Below are 24,828 nucleotides of genomic sequence, written 5' to 3' on the forward strand. Positions count from 1 at the left end.
TGAGCTCACCAGAAGTCCTTCTCTGAAAGTCCCTTCAAGTCAAGACCTCTTTGAGTGCTTCCCTCTGCCCTTTCTGTCTCCTCAACTGAATTCTGTGCTGGCTGAGGGAATGAGGAGAAATGATGAACTGGAGACAGAGTGGGATAAACACTTTGCTTAGAACATCAATCTTTGTTTTTTTGAGACAGAGTCTTGCTCTGTCACCCAGGCTGGAGTGCAGTGGCACGATCTTGGTTCGCTGCAACCTCTGCCTCCTAGTTCAAGCGATTCTTCTGCCTTAGCCGCCCAAGTAGCTGGGATTACAGGTGTGCACCACCATGCCCAGCTAAATTTTTGTATTTTTAGTACAGACGGGGGTTTTGCCATGTTGGCCAGGCTGGTCTCGAACTCCTGACCTCAAGTGATCTGCCCACCTTGGCCTCCCAAAGTGCTGGGATTATAGGTGTGAGCCACCGCACCTGGCCTAGAACATCAATCTAAAGCAATTAGGGTCCCCAAATTAGCAATTCTGTATTACCTGGCACTTGTTAGGAGTTGCAAATTCTCAGGCCCCACCCCAGATAGACTGAATCAGAAATTCTAGAGGTGGGGCCTAGCAATCTGTGTTTTAACAAGCTCCCCAGGGGATTACATTGCCTGCTCAGGTTTGAGGACCACTCTTCTAGGTGTTGATTCTCAAACTTCAGGATGCATCCTAACACCTGGGGCAGCTGGTTATGTAGGATCTGGTTAAACAAACTGGACTGGTGTCTGGGCAACTGTATTTTTAGTAAGCTCCCTAGATGATTCTTATATTCATCAAAGATTGAGGATCATTGATCTAAGGAACTCATCTAATTAGCTGAGTCTCCTGGGAAGGGAGCAGACAGAAGGGCAATGGAAGTGTCTCTTAATATTCCAAATGCTACCTGCATCTGAACCTCTGGAGAGCTTGTTAGAAAAGCAGGATCTTGAGCCCCCATCAGAGGTATTGACCCAGACTTTCTGGGCGTGGGGCCCTGGCATCTACATTCAGAGTTCTCCAGGTGATTCTTGCGCATACTAAAGTGTGATTACTGAGGAGCAACAAGTTGGCAGGTGTTCTCAATGCTGGATGCACATTAGAATCACCTGAGGAGCTTTATAAAATTATGTGATAACCTGAGCTCCACCTCCACAGAGTCTGACTTCATTGGTCTGGGCTGGGACCTTGATGTTTTTTAAATGTCTCACACCGGATTATTTTAATAGATAGAGTTAAAGACTATCAGGTTTGGTTGGATATGGGGGTCATGCCTTAATCCCATGGCTTTGAGAAGCTGAGGTGGGAGGATCACTTGAGCCCAGGAGGTCGAGACCAGCCTGGGCAACAGAATGAGACCCCCATTTCTACAAAATTAAATTGTTTTAAAAATTAGCTGAGCACGGTGATGCACGCCAGTAGTCCCAGCTACTTGGGAGGCTAAGGTAGGAGGACTATTGAGGCCAGGAGGTCAAGGTTGCAGTGAGCTGTGACCACTCCAGCCTGAGCTCTTAAAAAACAAAATGAAACAAAAAAACCTATCAGGTTAGGCTGGGCGTGGTGGTGCACACCTGTAGTCCCAGCTACTCGGGAGGTAGAGGCACGAGAGTCACTTGAATGTGGGAAGTGGAGGTTGTAGTGTGCTGAAATTGCGCCACTGCACTCCAGCCTGGGCAACAGAGCAAGACTCTGTCTCAAAACAAAATAAAAAAAAACAAAAAAACCTATCAGGTTAAAGGGAGATGCAGATCTGGGAAGGGTCAGGAAACAGGAGAAGGTGAAGGAATGCCAAGGAAACAATTTGGTGGAAGCCTGAGGGCAAGGCTAGTTATGGTTTCCATGTGGGAAATCCAGGGGAGATTGATTGGGAAGGTGGAAGGGGCCTCAGGTTGGAAAGTGGGCAGGGTGGCTTGGGTGGCGTGAAGCTCACTGTAGAAAGAGGTTAATGTATTAATTTCCTGCTGCTACTGTAACAAACTTAACGGCTTAAAATAACATATGTATTATTTTACAATTCTCTGGGTCAGAAATGTAAAATGGGTCAGCAGGGCTGGGTTCCTTCCGAAGGCTCCAGGGAAGAATCCATTTCCCTGCTTTTCTAGTCTAGAGGCTGCCTGCATTTCTTGGCTCATGACCCCACATCACGGTGACCTCTGCTTCCGTCATGACATCCTCTTCACCCACTCTGGTCCTCTGTTTCCCTCTCAGAAGGACCCTGAGGATTGCATTGGGTCCATCAGGATAATCTTCCCATCTCAAGATCCTTAAATTAGGCCAGGTCTGGTGACTTAAGCCTGTAATCCCAGCACTTTGGGAGGCCAAGGTGGGCGTGAGGTCAGGAGTTTGAAACCAGCCTGGACAACAAGGTGAAACCTCGTCTCTACTAAAAATACAAAAAAAATTAGCCGGGTGTGGTGGCGCATACCTGTAGTCCCAACTACTTGGGAGGCTGAGGCAGAAGAATCACTTGAAACTGGGAAGTGGAGATTGCAGTCAGCCGAGATCATGCCACTGCACTCCAGCCTGGGTGACAGAGACTCTGTCTCAAAAAAAAAAAAAAAAAGTCCTTAATCACATCTGCAAAGTCATCTTTGCCATGTAAGGGAGCAGAATCGTTGGCCCCAGGGATTAGGATGTGTACATCTTTGGGAGGATATTATTTAGCCTTCCACAGTTAGCATGGTTTAACTAATGAGAATGGAAACAGTGGCTGGAGGGACCATGAAAGTCAAGCAGTAGGGGTGGAAGGATAAAGGGGAGGCAGTCAATAGGTCAAAGTTACAGTTAGATAGGAAGAAAAGCTCTTGTGTTCTACTGCACAGCACAGTGACTAGAGTTCATAAGAAGGTATTGTATATTTCAAAATAGCTAAAACAGGATTTTAAATGTTATTGCCATAAAGAAATAATAAATATTTGAGGTGAGGTGACAGTATGCTAATCAGGCTGATATAATCATTCCACAACATATGCATTATTGAAATATGACATTGTACCCCATAAATATATACATTTATTTTTTGTCAATTAAAAATAAAGCTACAAGGCCAGGTGGCTTATGCCTGTATGTAGGGTCCAGCCCTACGGGGCTTAGAGGGTGTTCTCCCCATGTGCGGAGACGAAAAATTGTAATAAAGACACAAGACAAAGAGATAAAGAGAAAGCAGCTGGGCCCTGGGGACAACTACCATCAAGACGTGGAGACCGGTAGTGGCCCCGAACGGCTGGGCTTGCTGATATTTATTGCATACAGGACAAGGGGGCAGGGTAAGGAGGGTGAACCTTCTAAGTGATTGACAAGGTGAAGCAAGTCACGTGATTACAAGATAGGGGGCCCTTCCCTTTTAGGTAGCCGAAGCAGAGAGAGAAGGCAGTATACGTCAGCATTTTCTTCTCTGCACTTATAAGAAAGATCAAAGACTTTAAGATTTTCACTATTTCTTCTACCACTATCTACTAGGAACTTCAAAGAGGAACCAGGAGTACGGGAGGAGCATGAAAGTGGACAAGGAGTGTGACCATTGAAGCACAGCACCACAGGGAGGGGTTTAGGCCTCCGGATGACTGAAGGCAGGCCTGGATAATATCCAGCCTTCCACAAGAAGCTGGTGGAGCAGAGTGTTCCCTGACTCCTCCAAGGAAAGGAGACTCCCTTTTGCAGTCTGCTAAGTAACGGGTGCCTTCCCAGACACTGGTGTTACCACTTGAACAACGAGCCCTCAAGCAGCCCTTATGCGGGCGTGACAGAAGGCTCACCTCTTGCCTTCTAGGCCACTTCTCACAATGTCCCTTCAGCACCTGACCCTATACCCACCGGTTATTCCTAGGTTATATTAGTAATGCAACAAAGAGTAATAGTAAAAGCTGATGATTAATAATGTTTATAATAATGATTGATAATTGTCCATGATCATCTCTATATCTAATTTGTATTATGACTATTCTTATTCTAACTATTTTCTTTATTATACTGAAACAGTTTGTGCCTTCAGTCTCTTGCCTCAGCACCTAGGTAATCTTTCGCCCACACCTGTAATCCCAGCACTTTGGGCAGCCAAGGTGGGTAGATCACTTGAGCTCAGGAGTTTGAGATCAGCCTGGCCAACATGATGAAACCCCGTCTCTACTAAAAATACAAAAATTTGCTTGGCGTGGTGGCAGGCACCTGTAGTCCCAGCTACCTGGGAGGCTGAGGCAAGAGAATCGCTTGAACCAGGAGGTGGAGGTTGCAGTTAGCAGAGATTGTGCCATTGCACCACTCCAGCCTGGGTGACAGAGCGAGACTCTGTCTCAAAAAAAAGAAAGAAAGTCGGGTGGGGATCCCCCATCTAGAGTCCAGCCTCCTGGGGTTGGGCTGTTCAGCTCCAGGAAGCCCCTGGTGTGGCTAAAAGGTTTGGGCAGCCCCTGAAGCTGCCTTGGGATCAGACTCTCATTGGTGCTCCTCAGGTCTAGGATTTTCTTCCCAACTCAGAGGGGAGAAGGGAAATGACGTTGTTTATTGTGTCTGGAGCTGTGGGGCCTTTACCTAAGCCCTGTCAGGAAGGTTGTGTTTTCGCCAGCTGAGATGCTGGGAGATGCACCCAGGATGGCTGGGTGCCTGCGGGTTGGAGGGGAGAAAGCAGAGCGAAGGGAAGAGGTGTTAGACAAGCAAAGGAGCCCTGGCTCTTAATTTTCACCCCTAAGTCCTTGGTTTTGGCCTGGGACTGTAAAACCCCTCACAGAGCAGTAGGGGTTCTTAGCCCCAGGGTCAGACATGGAGTGGTCCCTGGAACCCTCAGTGCCTTACCCCAAGTGGCTAACCTCCTTCCTGAACAGGCAGATGTGTCATGCTGGGCAGCACCTCTCCCTCCCGACACCTGCATGGTGACTCAAACTCCCAGGTAAAGCCCAACCCGATGGGAAATGACTCAGCATTGAAGTTCTCTTCCCCTCATTGGGGAGGGAGCAGGAAGCCCGAAGCTGGGCCTGACGCTCCCCTTTGATTTCTCAAGGTAGTGACGGGGGAAGGGGAGCTTTGCAGGGGAGTTTTGCCTGGCCAACATGGTGAAACCCTGTCTCTACTAAAAATATAAACACTTGCTGGGCGTGGTGGCGGGCGCCTGTAATCCCAGCTACTCAGGAGGCTGAGGCAGGAGAATCACTTGACCCAGGAGGTGGAGGTTGCAATGAGCCGAGATTGTGCCATTGCACCACTCCAGCCTGGGTGACAGAGTGAGACTCCCTCTCAAAAAGAAGAAAGTTGGGGTGGGGTGTCCCCCTAGAGCATCTTCTTCCTACAGCTTCTGCTTTTACACACACACTCTCTCTCTCTCTGTGTGTGTGTATGTGTAGACAGTCTAGGACACTTGAGGGTGGGCGTGCTGGGATCTACAAGACTTCCCCCTTGCCTTCATCTCTGTTGCCTGCCACTTCCTACCCTGCTGCCCTTTAGGGAGAGTTGAAAGTTTATTTCCTGCCCCAGTGAATTATTATTATTTTTGACTAGCGAAGGTGGGATTTGGGCAATAGGGAGGACTTTTGCTGATTGCCCAGACTGGAGACCTGACAGTGGGGTAGTGCTTAGGAGAGTCCAGTCGCTAGATCACGAAAGCTCCATTTAAAATGCATAGTTGGGGCTAGGCATGGTGGCTCACGCCTGTAATCCCAGGATTCTGGGAGGCCTAGGCGATGGATCCCTTGAGGCCAGGAGTTAGAGACCAGCCTGGCCAACATGGCAAAACCCCGTCTCTACTAAAAACACAAAAATTAGCTGGGCGTGGTGGCATGCACCTGTAATCCCAGCTACTCAGGAGGCTGAGGCACGAGAATCACTTGAACTTAAGAGGCAGAGTTTGCAGGGAGCTGAGATCGTACCACTGCACTCCGGCCTGGGTGACAGAGTGAGACTCCATCTCAAATAAATAAATAAAAATAAAAATAAAATGCACAGTTGGACTGTCTCTGGAAGGTTGCGGGCGAACCAGAAATGTAGTGACCTCCAGGAAGGAAAATTGCTACTACTCTTTTCCACATATCCTTTGATCACTTTTAAATTGTGTTCCATTTGCAAGTACTACCTACTCAAATGGAAAGAATAAAACATGGTTACCTGGGAAGGAAGATAAAAAGAGAGTCCTTTTCCATATTAGTGCTAAGCACTTCGTACAGTTCGTCCTTAACTGGACAAGAATTACGGAATCTCTATAGGATGATGTCAGGAGCTGTGCTGGATTCTGGAGACTCAGCGTCTACAAAACAGCATCCCTTGCCTCACAGCGATCCCAGTTGGGAGAGCAATTCAGACAGACAGCAAGGCAATGAACACGCAGTGTCAGAAGCGTGATGATGAGAAGTGCAGACACCAGGGAATTGCAAAGGAGGCTCCTCTGCCCAGACCTGGGGAGAAAAGACCTTTCTGGACCCAGTGATATCCAAGCTGAGACCAGGAGTTAGTCGGAGGGGAAGAGAGCTCCAGGCACAGGGAACAGCACAACATACGCAAAGACTGCAGGAGCCGTATAAAACTTGACTGCTTCCTTGGAACTGCAAGCAGTCAACATGTCTGGAGTATTGAGTTTGGAGAGGGTGTGTGGAAGAATGAAGCCACAGAGGTAAGGTCAGATCATAGAGTATTTTATAAGCTAATGTAAGGTCAGTTAGTGGTCACCTTGAACAGGTGTGAAGCCCTGGGGGACAGGGGTTAATAATCTACCTGTATTGGAATGCTGTTTTGCCAAGCACTGTAATCTTTTTATGCATTAGCTCATTTAACACTTCCAAAAAGCGCCTGAGATTTTTACCATCATTTTTTTCTTTTCTTTTTTCTTTTTGTTTTTTGTTTTTGTTGTTGTTGTTGTTGTTTAGACGAAGTCTGACTCTGTAGCCCAGGCTGGCGTGCAGTGGCGTTATCTCGGCTCACAACAACCTCTGCCTCCCGGGTTCAAGCGATTCTCCTGCCTCAGCCTCCAGAGCAGCTGGGATTATAGGTGCGTGCCACTGCACCCGGCTAATGTTTTGTTTATTTAGTAGAGACAGGGTTTCGCCATGTTGGCCAGGCTAGTCTTGAACTCCCGACCTCAGGTAATCCACCTGCCTCGGCCTCCCAAAGTGCTAGGATTACAGGCGTGAGCCACCGTGCTTGGCCTACTATCATTTTTTTCTATTTAATGTTTTGTAAGTAAGTGAGGAAACTGAGGCTCAAAGAGGTTAAATTTAGTAGAAAATCTTACAGGGTCACAAATGGAATAATATAAATGTCTAGGGGCACAGCTAGCCCAGGGAGAGTGGGGATCTCACCCAGACATGCACTGTCTGCCATGCGACCTCCCCATTCAGATAGAGCAGTGGTTGTTGTCAATAAGGGTGGTGATTTTGCCCTCAGGAGACATTTGAAAGTGTCTGGAAACATTTTTGGTTGTCACAACTGGGAAGATGCTACTGGCATCTCATAGGTAACTAACATCCTACAATGTAGGATGCTCAAAATATCAACGTCACAACTGAGAAATCCTAGAGAATAAGTTGTAGAGGGCAGGCACAGAGAGGTAGTCAAGGGGTGAGCGTGAGAATTTTGGAAGGGAGTTTTTTCTTTTTTCTTTCTTTTTTTTTTTGAGATGGGGTCTTGCCTGCTTGTTGCCCAGGCTGGAGTGCAGTGCTGCAATCATAGCTCACTGCAGCCTTGAACTCCTGGGCTGGAGCAATCATCCCATGTCAGCCTCTTGAGTAGCTGACAGGTGTGTGCCACCATGCCTGGCTAATTTTTATATTTTTAATAGAGACAACAGGGTCTCACTATGTTGCCCAGGCTGGTCTCAAACTCCTAGGCTCAAGTGATCTACCCACCTTGGCCTCCCAAAAAGAGTGCTGGGATTACAGGTGTGAGCTGCCATGCCCGGGCAGGAAGAGACATTTTTTAAAGGCCTTGTAAATACTGTACTTATAGCAGCAAGAGACAGGAGTCAGCTCCAGTAAAGCCTGGGATGGACACAGCACATCCTTTCCTGACGTTCCTGCTGCTTCCAAGCACCAGCCTTAAGAGCCCAGAGGAAACTGCTAATGAATTTCCCTAGAGTTACCCAGAACTAATTCTGAGGGGTTTCCTGCCACCTCTCAGGTCCGGGACTGTTAAGGGGTACCAGCCAAGATGTCCAACTCCTCACCAGCATATTCTGCCAGACCAGGGCACCCTGCTCTGATCATGCTGAGACATGGGACCCAAGTCCAACACGTTTGGTCAATGCATGATTTCAAAGAATTGTAACATCAGCAGCAGAGAAACTGGAGACCCAAAGAATGGATTCAAATGCTTGTTGCCTGAATCTGCTCTTCTCACAAGTCCCTCAATATTGTACCTGAATATAATACCTTCTCCTGCATCAAGAGAGGACATTAGGTGGGTCCCAGCTGCCTCTTCAGGGATTTAACAGGCTAACCAGGAGCTCTCACTTGTCTTTCTACCTGCAAACTACAGAATGGGTGCAGATCTTTCCAGGAAGCTTATAAAAGCTCACAGGGTGAGGCGAAAGTTGGCTTAGTCTCAGAGATTCATTGTTGTTGGGAACGTAGAGCCCTGAGCGCTTTAAGTCCTGAAAATCTTCTAGTTTCTGATCTTTAGCTCAACTTTTAACTGTTTTCCTCCTGATTTTTGTTTGGCTTTCTGATTTGATTCTCTGGTTTGACATATGTGTCTGTCTTAATTAGGTTTTCCAGCAGGTCATGGCCCTGTCCCGGGCCCATGTAAACCATCAAAGGCTTGCCTCAGTCATCCCTATACCAGCTTCTCACCTTGCCCAGTCTTAGGGCCTGGGATCTAAGAGCCCTCTGGAAGATCTACCCTTTTTCTACATCTGAAAACTCACTATTAGAGAGTTAAAGTCTTCGAAACATTCCATGTTTCCCAAGGGTCCACATGGCAATTTTGTGATATATTTATAGGTAGCAAGTGGAACAAAGGGGTTTGTAGCCAAATAAATTTGGAGAATGTTATGTGAGGTTAGTTTCTTGTCTACAACAAGGCTTAATATGCTTTGAACAGGTTAAACATCCATACAATGAACTTAGTCAGCTCACAATCCAGTACCCAAAACCCTTGGAACCAGATATATTTGGATTTCAGAATATTTCAGGTTTTAATAAGGTAAATGGTGAATATGCTATTTATTCCACTATTTATTCCATTGCACCCAGAAGAGCTGGCAGGCCCTGTAATCAAGCACATACTTCTGCAGCAAAACATATGCATCTTCATACTAAGTAGGCTAAGTAAAAAATCTGAAAAGCCACAACATCATTTTAGGTCAGGTTTTACCCCTAAGTCTTGTTTTGTTTTTTGAGACGGAGTCTTGCTCTGTTGCCCAGGCTGGAGTGCAGTGGTGTGATCTCGGCTCACTGCAACCTTCACCTCCTGGGTTCAAGCGATTCTCCTGTTTCAGCCCCCCTAGTGACTGGGATTATAGACACACACCACCACACTGGGCTAATTTTTGTATTTTTAGTAGACATGGCATTTCACTATGTTGGCCAGGCTGGTCTCAAACTTCTGACCTCAAGTGATCCATCCACATCGGCCTCCCAAAGTACTGGGATTACAGGCATGAGCCATAGCACCCAGCCTGTTATTTTTTAAAACTTAGTTTTTAGCACTTTTTGGACTTCAACCTGATGGATACAGGATGGGGCCGTGTAGATGGTGTTCCCAACATAGATGATCTCAGAACTCCCTCTTCCAGGAGCATCTAGCAGGACAGGTATTTCATGGACTCCAAGGATACCCTCAGCTGTTAGTCTATAACACAGGAGAGTGAACACAGTCGGTCATTCTCACTTTAGCCTTATCCTCTCCCACACCAACTAGATGAGGTGAGGATTCTGACAGCCAAACAAGGAGGAGAAGCTGGAGAGCCTGTGCATGTGTGCAGATGTGGTTGGGGAGTCATGGTTCAGCTGTCAGCTTCTGGTGGAAAAGGGATACCAAAAAGAGCGGCATAGTGGACATCCAGGTTATGGTGGTTTTCTTCTGTGTACACTTCTGTGTTTTTCACATTTCCTTTAGAAATGACGAGCTTTTTCTCCCTTATTGCTGTTTTCTACTGCAGGGAGTTGCTGCTCTTAGTGTTGCAGTGTGGGGAGGTAGGATGGGGCTGACGCAGAGCCTGAGGGCAAGGCAGGGTTCCTGGGAAGATGGATTCCTGTGATTCTGGCCTTGTGCCTCAGCCAGAGCTGAGGTGGGGTGGGGTGTATGCCTAAGGCCAGGGTCCCCTGGGGAAGGAGGAGGATGTTGGATTTCTGGTGGATTTCCAGGAAGACTTCCTGCTCTGACAAAAACAACACAAACACAGGAAGAGGCTCTGGGGCCTAAGGAGAGGGGATAATGGACCAAGGTGGAGACTTTTGGGGTGGAGGCTGATACAGAGAGCAGCCCAGGAACAGAGAAGCTGCCTCCTCGCTGTCCAACTGTGTTCCCCAAGCCAGCTGAGAGTCTTTCTCTACTGTGGTGGCAAGTTGGGAACTGGAGGAAGAGGCCCAGTAACTTTGGACTCCCTGGCTTCTTCTCCACTTTTCATTGAGTATAATATTTCTTGGTGGCCTGGACCATGAGGATGGGGGTGGAGAGTAGGCAGTGGACTGCGGGGGGGCATTTGGCTAAGGCCTCAGATTATGTAGGGCCTCAGATACAGACCTTAAATGTGTGGGGTCACACACCTGTCAGAGCTACATTCAGCCTCACTGTGCGGGATCAGGTGAAGACATGCATCCTAAACTTGCTACCATTACCAGCCCTATGGTGTGCTGTAAACTCATTATCTTCATATGGCTTGTGAATTGCTCTGTTATGTTGCATTATATATGTATATATACACATATGTGTGTATGGGACTCTGTGTGTGTGTTTGTTGTAAACCAAAAATAAAAATCTAAGGCTACCCCCACCATCTGAAGAGACTCCCTCCTCTTGGCCAGGCCACTCCAAAGTTAACCTGAACAACTGTTTTCAGGCCATGAGGGGAAGTGGGGGTTGGACCTGCCTCATAATGCCCTCCTGCCTTTTGGAATTCAGGAAAAGCTGACCAGCATTAACAACAACATAGACCTTAAGTCTGATAAATAACCTTTACAATCTATTCTCTCCTGAAGCCTGCTATCTGGAGGCTTCATTTGCATGATAAAACTTTGGTCTCCATAACCTCTTATCATAACCTAGATATTTCATTCTAGTGATAACTCTTTTAACCATTGCCAATGAGAATTTTGTTTGTTTGTTTGAGATGGAGTCTTGAGTGCAGGCTGGAATGCAGTGGTGCAATCTTGGCTCACTGCAACCTCCGCCTCCCAGCTTCAAATGATTCTCCTGCCTCAGCCTCCTGAGTAGCTAGGATTACAGGTGCCTGCCACTACGCCCGGCTAATTTTTGTATTTTTTAGTAGAGACAGGGTTTTGCCATGTTGGCCAGGCTGGTCTCAAACTCCTGACCTCAGATGATCTGCCCACCTCAGCCTACCGAAGTGCTGGGATTACAGGCATGAGCCACTGCACCCGGCCTAGAAAATTTTTTAATCTACCTATAATCTTGAAGGCTCTGTACCCCATTCCCCATTTTGAGTTGTCCCCCCTTTCTGGATCTAACCAATGTACATCTTAAATGTGTTGACTGATGTCTCATGCCTCCCTAAAATGTATAAAACCAAGCTGTGCCCCTACCACCTTGGGCACATGTTCTCAGGGTCTCCTGAGGGCTGTATCACAAGCTATGGTCACCCATATTTGGCTCAGAATAAATCTCTTCAAATATTTTACACAGTTTGACTCTTTTCGTCAACTCTCTCTCTCTCTCTGCGTGTGTGTGTGTGTGTGTGTGTGTGTGTGTGTGCCACCACACCCGGCCAACATTTTTAAAAATAATAATAAATAAAAAAAATAATAAAATAATAAAACGGGGCCAGGCGCGGTGGCTCACGCCTGTAATCCCAGCAATTTGGGAGGCGGACGCAGGAAGATCGCTTAAGCCCAGGAGTTCGAGACCAGCCTAGGCAACAAAGTGAGACTTTCTCTCTACAAAAAATACAAAATACAGCTTTGGGCATTTTTTCTTTTTTTGAGATAGGGCCTGGCTTTGTCACCCAGGCTGGAGTGCAGTGGGTCATCACCACTCACTGCAGCCTGGACCTACTGGGCTGAAGTGATCCTCCCACCTCAGCCTCCCAAGTAGCTGAGACTACAGGCATGCGCCACCATGCCCAGCTAATTTTTGTATTTTTTGTGGAGATGGTGTCTCATTTTGTTGCCCAGGTTGGTCTCGAACCCCCGAACTCAAGTGATCCTCCTGCCTCAGCCTCCCCAAGTGCTGAGATTATAGGCGTGAGCCACCATGCCTGGCTTTCTTTTACTCATTTATTTATTTATTTGGGTGTGGGGGTCACAGCTTTGACTTGCTAAGTATACACATTTGAGATATACCACACTTTCAGTAACTTTGTTTTGGCATTAAAAATCTGTATCTATCTATATCTAGAGCTTTGAAAGGGAAGTAATAAACATTTTTTTTTTTTTTGAGACAGAGTCTTGCTCTGTCGCCCAGGCTGGAGTGCAGTGGCTAGATCTGGGCTCACTGCAAGCTCCGCCTTCTGGGTTCACGCCATTCTCCTGCCTCAGCCTCCCGAGTAGCTGGAACTACAGGTGCTCGCCACCACGCCCGGCTAATTTTCTTTGTATTTTTTAGTAGATACGAGGTTTCACCATGTTAGCCAGGATGGTCTCGATCTTCTGACCTCGTGATCCGCCCGCCTCGGCCTCCCAAAGTGCTGGGATTACAGGCGTGAGCCACTGCGCCCGGCCAACATTTTTTAAAATAATAAAACGGGGCCAGGTGCGGTGGCTCACGCCTGTAATCCCAGCACTTTGGGAGGCCGACGCGGGAAGATTGCTTGAGCCCAGGAGTTTGAGACCAGCCTGGGCAACAAAGTGAGACTTTGTCTCTACAAAAAATACAAAATAAAAATAAAACGGAAGGAGTCTGGCTCAGTCTTCACCTCTGAGAAGGGTAAGGAGAGCTCCAAACCGGAGCCTGAGAGCGCCTGTCCCCACTGGGCACTTGGACTGAGCGTCAAGAACCGAGGGCGGCCCGTGGGAGTCTTCCTTCCGCGGCCCGGGCGCGGTTCTGGCTTCATCTGCATCGCTCTGGCGGCCCCTGCTGGGCTGGCGGTGAAAGGCGACCCGGGATGGGGCGGTGCCCCGAGCTCTGGCTGGAGTAGGAGACACTGCGTGGGGGTGGCCTGGTGGGCAGCACGAAGACGTTGGGCTCAAGGGGACTCAAAGAAGACAAGCTCTGTTTACCGCACGGTTGTTTATTGCCACGCTGTGGGCTAAGGGATTGTTCTGAAAGTGCTGCTGAGGAAGGGGGCAAGTCCAGGTCTGAGGGCAAGACTGCTGAGCCCAGGGAGGGAAATGTCCGATTGCTGGGTGGGAATTCATGACCCTATTTCTTCTCTTCTCCTTCCCGGCTCCACGTGGTGACCATAAAGGGCCTGGCCTCTCTGAGCAGGGCAGCCATCCTCCTCCGTGCAGCTGGTTGGGGTCATGAACTCTGATTCAGAAAGAGGGAGCAGGATTTCTTGCTAAGACCTCCTGGCCGAAGTCAAATTCTCTGACCTGCTTTTACTGAAAAGCCTTGTTCTGAGGGCATACAGGAGCCTCAATCAACCATTTAATAAAAATGCTTCCTCACCGTCCTCATGGTCTTTATCCCTCTGGGGTGGAAGGTAGGATTCAGGGCCCCAAACCTTTCCCTGAGCATACTGGTTACCCAGTGGGTCCTAGTGAGTATTTGAGATAAAAATAGCTTATGGGAGCCTGTGGCTTAGTGCAGCTGCCATGGCTAGTGCCTTGACCAAAGGTGGTATCAGGTGATTTGGAAAATAGAGCCTTTTGGGTCTGGCAAAGGCTCACTTCAAATAGACAGAGGTTTTAGTCACTGTGAGTCAAGCAGTTTATGCCACCACAGCTTGCTGGCGCCCCTTCACCCATTCTCATCCAATGTATTGCAAATGGAAACTTTAAACTGGAAAAAGCAGCTTTTTATATATGACCACTTTTTTTTAAATTCTTTTTTGAGACAGGGTCTTCCTCTGTCACCCAGTCTGGAGTGCCGTGGTACCATCTCGGCTCACTTCAACCTCCGCCTCCTGGGCACAGGTGATCCTCCCACCTCAGCCTCCCGAGTAGCTGGGATTACAGGTGTGTGCCACCACGCCTGGCTAATATTTGCTACTTTTAGCAGAGGTGGAGTTTCACCATGTTGCCCAGGCTGGTCCTGAACTCCTGGGCTCAAGTGATTTACCCACCTCAGCCTCCCAAAGTGCTGGGATTATAGGTGTGAGCCACCACTCCCAGCCATAGCCACTTCTTTATATATGGTTCTTCATATTTGTGTGTGAAGTTTTGAGTCCTTAGGTCGCTAGTGGTAGCAGCCTTCCCAGATTCTGTCATCTTTCTCTTGTTTTGTACATGACCCAGAGCCTATTAATAGGGAACCGTGGCCAAGCTAAGCCCTTAGGCTCACGAAGCAGGTTCAGAGGTCCCTGAGTCCTACCCTCCTCCACTCTCAGGCCCGGCATTGGCCTGACAGGTTGACTGCCCAGACCCTTGCCATGGCTGTGGATTCAGCCACCAGAGGGTGGTCAGTTTTACTGGTGGACAATAAAGGGGAATATCCGATTTGTAGTAATTGAAAAAGCCCATTTTCAGAGCAGTCTATGTCTGGGAATCAGGTTTGCTTTGACTCGGGGAGAAACTAGATTGTTTTGAAAAATGAATTTTAGGACCGGGCGCAGTGGCTCACGCCTGTAATCCTAGCACTTTGGGAGGCTGAGGTAGGTGGTTCACGAGGTCAGGTGTTCAAGACCAGCCTGACCAACATGGTGAAACCCCATCTCTACTAAAAATACAAAAATTAGGCGGGTGTGGTGGTGCGCGCCTGTAATCCCAGGTACTTGGGAGGCTGAGGCAGGAGAATCACTTGAACCCGGGAGTCAGAGGTTGCAGTGAGCCGAGATCGCACCACTGCACTCCAGCCTGGGCAACACAGCAAGACTCTGTCTCAAAAAGAAAAATGAATTTTAGTCTTGCAAACTGAAGAGCAGTGGAAAATGAAAGGTAACTGAGGGACATATATTTTAATCTTTTATTGTAAAACATGGCATAGAAAAGAAAACCACACAAATCAAATGTATAGCTTAATTTATTATTATAAGGTAAAACCACCCAGATTAAGAAATAAGGCCAGGCGTGGTGGCTCATGGCTCTAATCCCAGCACTTTGGGAAGCCGAGGCAGGTGGATCACTTGAGTCCAGGAGTTTGAGACCAGCCTGGGAAACATGGCGAAACCCCATCTCTACTAAAAATATAAAAAACTAGCCAAGCGTGGTGGTGTGCACCTGTAGTCCCAGCTACTCAGGAGGCTGAGGTAGGAGAATCATCTGAGCTCGGGAGGTTGAGGCCGTGGTGAGCCGAGATTGTGCCATTGCACTCCAGCTTGGGCAACTGGAGTGAGATCCTGTCTCAAAGAAGAAAAAAATAAAAAAATTTTCCAGCCTCCCCAGAAAACCTTCTGTGTGCACTGTTCAAATCACAACCCTCCCTCCTCCCACAAACCATCACTATCCTGAGTAATACAGCAATCAAAATGGATATTTTGGAGGACAGCTTAGACATATAAACCCAAACTAACTACTTTTATTTTATTTTATTTTTTAGACTGAGTCTCATTCTGTCACCCAGGCTGGAGTGTGGTGGTCCAATCTCAACTCACTGCAACCTCCATCTCCCGGGTTCAAGCAATTCTCCTGCCTCAGCCTGCCAAAGTAGCTGGGATTACAGGTGTGTGCCACCATGCCTGGCTAATTTTTGTACTTTTAGTAGAGATGGGGTTTCACCATGTTGGCCAGGCTGGTCTCGAATTCCTGACCTCAGGAGATCTCCCTGCCTCAGCCTCCCAAAGTGCTGGGATTACAGGTGTGAGCCACCACACTGGCCCCAAACACTACTTTCCATAAATGGGTTAGAAAAATGGGGAATAGCTTAATTGTTCTTAGATTAGGGAGGGTGATTGGGACTCAAGAGATTTAGCAGGAGAGGCTGGATCTCAGCAAATGAATTATATTAATTTCCTGATAGTGAGCTCAAACCCCCTCCAAGCAGATTTCTTCCATTCAGAAGAAGAGATTTGCAATGTCTAAAGCTACACAAGATTAATATCTGGAATGCTCAAGAAACTCCTGGGGATCAACAAGAAAAAGGCCAGAAATCCAATGGAAAAGTGAGCAAAGAATAAAGTCAGAAATCACAGAAGGGAAATTAGAATGGCTGGCAAGTGTGTGAAGAGATGCCCAACCTTGGCTGGGCACAGTGGCTCACACCTGTAATCCCAGCATTTTGGGAGGCTGAGGCAGGATTGCTTGAGCCCAGGACATCCAGACCAGCCTCAACTACATAACAAGACCCCGTGTCTACAAAATAAATAAATAAATAAATAAATAAAGCCAAGCGTGGTGATGTGCACATGCAGTCTCAGCTACTCAGAAGGCTGAGGTGGGAGGCTTGCTTGAGCCTGGGAGGTGAAGGCTGCACTCCAGCCTGGGTGACAGAGTGAGACCCTATCTCAAAAAAAGAAAGCTCAATCTTAGAAGTACCCTGAGCAATGCAAATTAAAACATGATATCACTTGGTGTCACCTCAATTGTCGAAAGTTAGGCAAGTCAGATAATGCCTTTCAAGTGTTGGAAAGGATGTGGGGAAAAGGGGACAACTGTTGGTGGGATTATAAACTTGTAGGGCTATTCTGGAAGCCATCTGACTCTATTTTGAGAGGTGACAGCGTGCTGGCAGCCCTCGCTTGCTCTCGGCGCCTCCTCGGCCTTGGCGCCCACTCTGGCCGTGCTTGAGGAGCCCTTCAGCCTGCCGCTGCACTATGGGAGCCCCTCTCTGGGCTGGCTGAGGTCAGAGCCGGCTCCCTCTGCTTGCAGTGAGGTGTGGAGGGAGAGTGGGAGGGAACCGGGGCCAGCACAAGTTCTGAGTGGGCGTGGGCTCGGTGGCCCCGCACTCTGAGTGGCCGGCTGGTGCCACCGGCCCTGGGCAGTGAGGGGCTTAGCACCCGGGCCAGCAGCTGCAGAGGGTGTACCGGGTCCCCTAGTGGTGCCGGCCCGCGGGTGCTGTGCTCGAATTCTCGCCAGGCCTTAGCTGTCTCCCCGCGGGGCAGGGCTCGGGACCTGCAGCCTGCCATGCCCGAGCCTTACCCCGCGGCCGTGGGCTCCTGGGCAGCCCAAGCCTCCCTGATGAGCACTGCCCCCTGCTCTGCGGCACCTGGTGCCATAGACCGCCCAAGGGCTGAGGGGTACAGGCCCATGGCGCGGGACTGGCAGGCAGCTCTGACAGCGGCACCCGTACAGGATCCACTAGGTGAAGCCAGGTGGGCTCCTGAGTCTAGTGAAGACTTGGAGAAACTTTATGTCTAGTTAAGGGATTGTAGATACACCAATCAGCACTCTGTGTCTAGCTCAAGGTTTGTAAATGCACCAATCAGCACTCTATCTAGCTAATCTGGTAGGGACTTCGAGAACCTTTATGTCTAGCTAAGGGATTGTAAATACACCAATCAGCACCCTGTGTCTAGCTCAAGGTTTGTAAACACACCAATCAGCACCCTGTGTCTAGCTCAAGGTTTGTAAATGCACCAATCACTGCTCTGTGTCTAGCTAATCTAGTGGGGACTGGGAGAACCTTTATGTCTAGCTAAGGGATTGTAAATACACCAATCAGCACCCTGCATCTAGCTCAAGGTTTGTAAATGCACCAATCAGTGCTCTGTGTCTAGTTAATCTAGTGGGGACTTGGTGAACTTTTGTGTCTAGCTCAGGGATTGTAAATGCACCAATCAGCACCCTGTCAAAACGGACCAATCAGCTCTCTGTAAAACAGACCTATCAGTTCTTTGTAAAATGGACCAATCAGCAGGATGTGGGTGGGGCCAGATAAGGGAATAAAAGCAGGCTGCTGGACCCAGCAGTGGCAACCCGCTTGGATTTCCTTGTTGGAAGGTTTGTTTTTTCGCTGTTTGCAATAAATCTTGTTGTGTTCGGTCTTTGGGTCCGCACTGTTTTTATGAGCTGTTAAGGCTCACAGGGAAGGTTTGCAGCTTCACTCCTGAGCCAGCGAAACCACGAGCCCACCAGAAGGAAGAAACTCTAGATGTCTCCAAACATCAGAAGGAAAAAACTCTGGACACGCTGCCTTTAAGAACTGTAACACTTACCGCGAGGGTCTATGGCTTCATTCTTGAAGTCAGTGAGACAGAGAACTCACCAATTCTGGACACAATTTCATGAATTTAAATATGCATACAGCCAATGAGCCAGCAATCTCATGTCCCCAGAGGAACATAAACAAGCAGATTCATCAGAGGATTATACGTGGAGACAACCTAGGGGGACATCACTACAGAAACGTGGAAGCAAAATGTAAACGCATACTTTGCTGTACTGTGCAGCAGTCAGCCACAGTGAACTAAAAGTGCTTAGACCCCCACAACAAGCTTAAAAACAGGTGTCACATAAAAAAGAAATACAATAAGATCTAGGGTATAACACCATTTATGTAGACTAAAGTCACACCTACCCATAAAAGAGCACTGTATATCTTTCAGTAATGTCTATATACCCAAGGACATGCATTAAACACATTATAGTGAGTCTCTTATGGGATAAGGAGAAGGATGAATAGACAGGGCATGAATGGGGTAAAAAAATAAAAGAGGATACTTCTTTACCAGAGATGAAAAATGGTATACCTGAGCTGAAGATATTTCTCCAGCTCTCTCTACTGGAGGGAAGGAAAATTGCCCTTGAAAAGTTTCACACAGATGGTCAATATAAGGACATCAGGAGAGTCCCCTTAATGACTGGAATAGTTGGTGGCTATATAAAACTTGGGTAGCCATTTCAAAGGAAGGACCACAAAGATGCTTCAGGCAACTTAGGGGAATTTCAAGGTGGCACAGGAAATTATGTGGATGAGATAACAGGTAAAGGCTTAGGCTCCCAGAGGACAGGTCCGGGCATTGTGGGGCTGGAATTACAGTGGCAAGTACAGGGCAGACCCACACTGAAAGGAAGCAGAATGCAGTGGATCCTATCCAGTCCTAGGGGAAGTGTCCCATGATGGTCAAACCTCCTGACTAGAATGACCCCACCCGGAGAGGGGACTGGGAGCAGGGTTCGTTTGATCAAAGGAGTCTTTAGCGAGACTTGACACTGATGGGTCCCAAAAGCAGTATATGGAGAAACATGCCAGGAGAGCAAACATTTGGCCTGAAGGCAAGGAGATGGAAAAATGTAGGAAGGCACTCTGATGCATGTGGTGGGGAAAGAAAAGAAACAAAGAAACAGTTGAAATTTGTAAAAATGTGTGTGTCTAGGCTGGGCGCGGTGGCTCATGCCTGTAATGCCAGCACTTTGGGAGGCCGAGTTGGGCGCATCGTCTGAGGTCAGGAGTTCAAGACCAGCCTGGCCAAGATGGTGAAACCCTGTCTCTACTAAAAATACAAAAAAATTAGCGGGGCATGGTGGCAGGCGCCTGTAATCAGCTACTCGGGAGGCTGAGGCAGAGAATTGCTTGAACTCGGGAGGCGGAGTTTGCAGTGAGCCAAGATCACGCCACTGCCCTCCAGCCTAGGTGACAGAGTGAGACTCTGTCTCAAAACACAAAACAAAACAAAAGTATGTGTCTAAACACAATGTGTGGTATCCTGGAACAGAAACAGGACATAGACCAGGTGCAGTGGCTTACACCCATAATCCCAGCACTTTGGGAGGCCAAGGCAGGTGGATTACCTGAGGTCAGAAGTTTGAGACCAGCCTGGACAACATGGCGAAAACCCATCTCTACTAAAAATACAAAAAGTTAGCCAGGCATATTGGTGGGTGCCTGTAATCTCAGCTACCTGGGAGGCTGAGGCAGGAGAATTGCTTGAACCTGGGAGGCGGAGGTTGCAGTGAGCCGAGATCATGCCACTGCACTCCAGCCTGGGAGACAGAATGAGACTCCGTCTCCAAAAAACAAAAAAAACAAAAAAAAACAAAAAAAAAAAAAAAAAAAGAAAAGAAAAAATAAACAGGAGATAAGTGGAAAACTGGTAGAATCTGAATAATGTCTGTAGTTTAGTTAATAGTACTGTAACACCGTTAATTTCTTAGTTTTGACAAATGTGCTATAGTATGTCATGTGTTAATATTAAGGCAAGCTGAGTGAAAGGTATACAATAACTCTCTCTACTATCTCTGCAACTTTTCTGTAAACTTAAACTTATTCCAAAAGAAAAAAAAAAAAAGGCCAAGCGTGGTGGCTCATGCCTGTAATCCTAGCACTTTGGGAGGGCGAGGAGGGCGGATCAGGAGGTTAGGAGATCAAGACCATACTGGCCAACATGGTGAAACCTCGTCTCTATTAAAATACAAAAAATTAGCCGGCCTGTAGTCCCGGCTACTCAGGAGGCTGAGGCAGGGGACTCGCTTGAACCCGGAAGATGGAGACTGCAGTGAACCGAGATCATGCCACTGCACTCCAGCCTGGTGACAGAGCAAGACTCCGTCTCAAAAGAAAAAAAAAGAAAGTAAAAGCTCCAGCTGAAAAGTGTATAAAATAAATGAAAATAGGCAAATATGTCAGTCAGGCATCTCATATATTAACATAGATGTGTGTGTACATATGTGTTTATATGTATGTGAATTTTAAAGTTTGAAAGAACTTATACCAAAGTACTATTATCTCTAGATCATATTATTACTAGGATATAGAACTATAGGTGATTGATTCTCTTCTTTGTGCTTTTCTGTGTTGTTTGAATATTCACTATAAAAATGTGTAAATTTTTTTGATTAGAAGAAAAAAAACTGTCCTGGCACAGTGGCTCACACCTGTAATCCCAGCACTTTGGAAGGCCGAGGCAGGAGGATCATTTGAGGTCAGGGGTTCAAGACCAGCCTGGCCAACATGGTGAAACCCAGTCTCTAGTAAAAATACAAAAATTAGCCAGGCGTGGTGGCGGGCGCCTATAATCCCAGCTACTCGGGAGGCTGAGGCAGGAGAATCGCCTGAACCCAGGAGGCGGAGGTTGCAGTGAGCCGAGATCCCACCACTGCACTCCAGCCTGGGCCATCGAGCGAGACTTAATCTAAAAAAAAAAAAAAGAAAGAAAAAAGAAAAAAAGAAAAAACTCATTTGGGCTTGCCTGAAAAAATAGAGTGTCATGCTCAGAAGAGACTTCTCTGGATGTCTTGCAAAGATTCTGACACCCACTTGGTCCTAGGCTCACCTTCTCCCAAGGTCAGGTTTGAGCAAATTTCTTGGAGACAAGCAACTTTCTTCTCCTTCGGCAAGATCCACAAGTCAAAGGAAAAGTAGGGGTGTTCAGGGGAGAGTGTGTGTGCTCTTATTGTTGGTCAGAGAGCTATGAACATGTTTACATGTCTGCCTGTTACTGTGCATGTATTCAGATGTACAGTATGAACTTTATGTGTGGTCCAACAGTATTTGTATTTATTCTTATTTATTCTTCCTTTCTTTTCGGTCTTTAGTATTTTTCTCTCTCTCTTTTTTTTTTTTTTTTGTTGTTGGTGTTGTTGAGACAGTCTTGCTCTGTCGCCCATGCTGGTGGAGTGCAGTGGCACGATCTCAGCTCACTGCAACCTCTGCCTCCCGGGTTCAAGCGATTCTCATGCCTCAGCCTCTCGAATAGCTGGGACTATAGACGTGAACCACTGCACCTTTTATTTATTTATTTATTTATTTATTTATTTATTTATTTATTTATTTATTTTAAGACAGGGTCTCACTCTGCCACCCAGGCTGAAGTACAATGGCATAATCATGGCTCACTGTAGCCTCGACCTCCCAGACTCAGGTGATCCTTGCATTTCAGCATTCTGGGCAGCTGAGACTACAGGTGCGCACCACCATGCCTGGCTAATATTTTGTATTTTTTGTAGAGACAAGGTTTCACCATGTTACCCAGGCTGATCTCGAATTCCTGGGCTCATGTGATCCACCTGCCTCAGCCTCCTAAAGTGCTGGGATTACCGGTAAAAGCCACTGCACCCAGCCTAGTATTTCCTTTTTTTTCTTTTTGAGATGGAGTCTCACTCTGTCTCCCAGGCTGGAGTGCAGTGGTCCCATCTAGGCTCACTGCAACCTCCGCTTCCAGAGTTCAAGCGATTCTCCTGCCTCAGTCTCCCGAGTAGCTGGGACTACAGGCGCATGCCACCAAGCCTGACTAATTTTTGTATTTTTAGTAGAGACAGGGTTTCGCCATGTTGGCCAGGCTGGTCTTGAACTCCTGACCTCAGGTAATCCACCTGCCTCGGCCTCCCAAAGTGCTGGGATTACAGGTGTGAGCCACTGCGCCCAGCCCCAGCCTAGTATTTCTTAATTACAAAAGTAATGGGCCCAGCGTGGTGGCTCACACCTGTAATCCCAACACTTTGGGAGGCAGATGGATCGTTTGAGGTCAGGAGTTTGAGACCAGCATGACCAACATGGTGAAACCCCGTCTCTACTAAATACAAAATAAAATTAGTCGTGCGTGGTCTAGACAAGGAAGACTGGGGGACTGGGGGGAAGACTGAGGGGGAGAGAGCCTTCCAGACAAAGGGTAGGTCTGTGTGGAGGCCCTGAGGTGGGACAGAGTGTGCTGAGGCGGAGGAGTATTGGGACCAGTGTGCGGGGAGAGAATCTGGGAAGCCAGACTGAAGAGGAAGGCTGGGTCAGGCCAAGCTCAGCCCTGTAAGCTGCGGATTTAGTTTCCCCAACAGCGAACGAAGGGACCTGCACCTTTGGGACCAGCAATATTTAGAGGTGTTTTCTTTGTTCCATTTTATCACTGTGTGAACACTCCTTGATTTTCGATGAAAGCCTTTTTTGAGAAGAGTGTAACAACTCACATTAAGATGATCAGATTCGAAATGCACATCAAATTTACTTTACGATGTTAACCAAATTCCCCAGATCCCTGTGCATCCCAGCATATTTCTTCTATTTTAGGACCTAAAGTATGAGAGAAATTTCCTGCTTCTGCAAAACTAGTTTGTTCTTGTAAAGCAAACTGTGCTTGCTCTGTTCAGCTTGCGTTCCTGGATGCTCCCTCTGGGGGTCCTGGATCCTGCCTTGTTCTGGCCAATGAAATGCAAGTCCTGGTGGGAGGCAGAGCGCTGGGCTGGGCAGCTGGTCTTTCCAGCCATGCTTCCCAGTTCTGTTTGCAGTGCTGCAGATGCTGCCAAACACAGGCCCCCCAGTCTGTGTCTCCTCTGGGCTCCCATAGCATCCTGGGGTAAACCTGTTATTGCAAGCCCCATAGTGTCATTTGATTTCTCCTATTGATGCTCAATAAGTACTTATTTAATGGATATATTGTATTAGCACAGGGTTAGATGACATCTAAATTATAGTACATTATTCAGTGAAATACTAGGCAACCATAAAAAGAACAATGTATATTGTTCTTTTGATATATATTTGATATATAATTATAATTGATAAATATTTGCAGATATAGAAAGATGCCCATGAGGGCCAGGCATGGTGGCTCATGCCTGTAATTCCAGCCCTTCGGGAGGCTGAAATAGGAGGATTGCTTGAGCCCAGGAATTTGAGACCAGTCTGAGCAATATAGTGAGACTCCGTCTCTACAAAAAGTAAAAAATAAAAAAATCAGCCAGGCCTGGTGGTGCATGCCTGTTGTCCTAGATACTCAGAAGGCTGAGGTGGGAGGGTTGTTTGAACCCAAGAGTTCGAGGATGCAGTGAGCTATGATGATGCCACTGCACTCCAGCCTGGGCGACAGAGTGAGACTCCAACTCTAAAAAAGAAAGAAAAATGTCCATGAGCTATTAAGTAAAAAAAGAAAGTTATAGAACATATATAGTACAGTATTATTTTTCTTTTTTAAAAGTATGTATATGGCCAGGCACGGTGGCTCACGCTTGTAATCCCAGCACTTTGGGAGGCTAAGGTGGGCGGATCACAAGGTCAGGTGTTCAAGACCAGCCTGGCCAACATGGTAAAACCCCATCTCTACTAAAGATACAAAAAAAAATTAACCGGGTGTGGTGGTGGGTGCCTGTAATCCCAGCTACTCGGGAGGCTGAGGCAGGAGAATCGCTTGAACCTGGGAGGCAGAGGTTGCAGTGAGCCGAGATCACACCATTGAACTCCAGCCTGGGCAACAGGGCAAGACTCCATCTCAAAAAACAAAAAAGTATGTATGTATATATATATATATATATAAAATATACACACACACACACGCATATGCATATATGAGAGACATCTACTTTTTTATTTACACATTTCTGTGGTATTTGAATTTGTCACAGTACACAGGCATAACCTCTGTAATTAAAAAGAATAAATGAGTGAATGAATTAATAAATAAATAAGGGGATTTTTTTTTAGGTTTCTCAGAATGGTGAATTGAAAAGAAAATTCAGTCCTTAAGTTTTTCACTCCAACCTATTTACCAAGTTTTGGACCTGTTCTTTCAACTTTTTATTTTATTTTTCTTTTTGAGACAGGGTCTCCCTCTGTTGCCCAGGCTGGAGTGCAGTGGCACCATCTCGGCTCACTGCAGCCTCTACCTCCCAGGTTCAAGCAATGTTCCTGCCTCAGTCCCCCAAGTAGCTGGGACTACAGGCACATGCCACCACATGCTGTTAATTTTTATATTTTTAGTAAAGATGGGGTTTTGTTGTGTTGCCCAGGCTGGTCATATTTTATTTTATTTTGAGACAGGGTCTTGCTCTGTCACCCAG

General features: G+C 47.1%; 5 annotated features.

Moving 5' to 3' along the window:
• Positions 4,333 to 5,532: an enhancer, noted in NCBI's record as "P300/CBP strongly-dependent group 1 enhancer chr10:75691709-75692908 (GRCh37/hg19 assembly coordinates)". NCBI's record gives its function as "activates an origin of replication core promoter dependent on BRD2, BRD4, P300/CBP, MED14 and CDK7 cofactors, with strong dependence on P300/CBP, by STARR-seq in HCT116 cells {active_cell/tissue: HCT116}" and the evidence as "EXISTENCE:reporter gene assay evidence [ECO:0000049][PMID:35650434]".
• Positions 4,397 to 4,456: a silencer, noted in NCBI's record as "silent region_2496". NCBI's record gives its function as "represses an Ori minimal core promoter by ATAC-STARR-seq in GM12878 lymphoblastoid cells {active_cell/tissue: GM12878}" and the evidence as "EXISTENCE:reporter gene assay evidence [ECO:0000049][PMID:35858748]".
• Positions 4,577 to 4,626: a silencer, noted in NCBI's record as "silent region_2497". NCBI's record gives its function as "represses an Ori minimal core promoter by ATAC-STARR-seq in GM12878 lymphoblastoid cells {active_cell/tissue: GM12878}" and the evidence as "EXISTENCE:reporter gene assay evidence [ECO:0000049][PMID:35858748]".
• Positions 4,767 to 4,816: an enhancer, noted in NCBI's record as "active region_3583". NCBI's record gives its function as "activates an Ori minimal core promoter by ATAC-STARR-seq in GM12878 lymphoblastoid cells {active_cell/tissue: GM12878}" and the evidence as "EXISTENCE:reporter gene assay evidence [ECO:0000049][PMID:35858748]".
• Positions 13,087 to 13,246: an enhancer, noted in NCBI's record as "active region_3584". NCBI's record gives its function as "activates an Ori minimal core promoter by ATAC-STARR-seq in GM12878 lymphoblastoid cells {active_cell/tissue: GM12878}" and the evidence as "EXISTENCE:reporter gene assay evidence [ECO:0000049][PMID:35858748]".

This window comes from Homo sapiens, chromosome 10 (genome assembly GCF_000001405.40).
Source record: "Homo sapiens chromosome 10, GRCh38.p14 Primary Assembly".
Taxonomy (NCBI): Eukaryota; Metazoa; Chordata; class Mammalia; order Primates; family Hominidae; genus Homo; species Homo sapiens.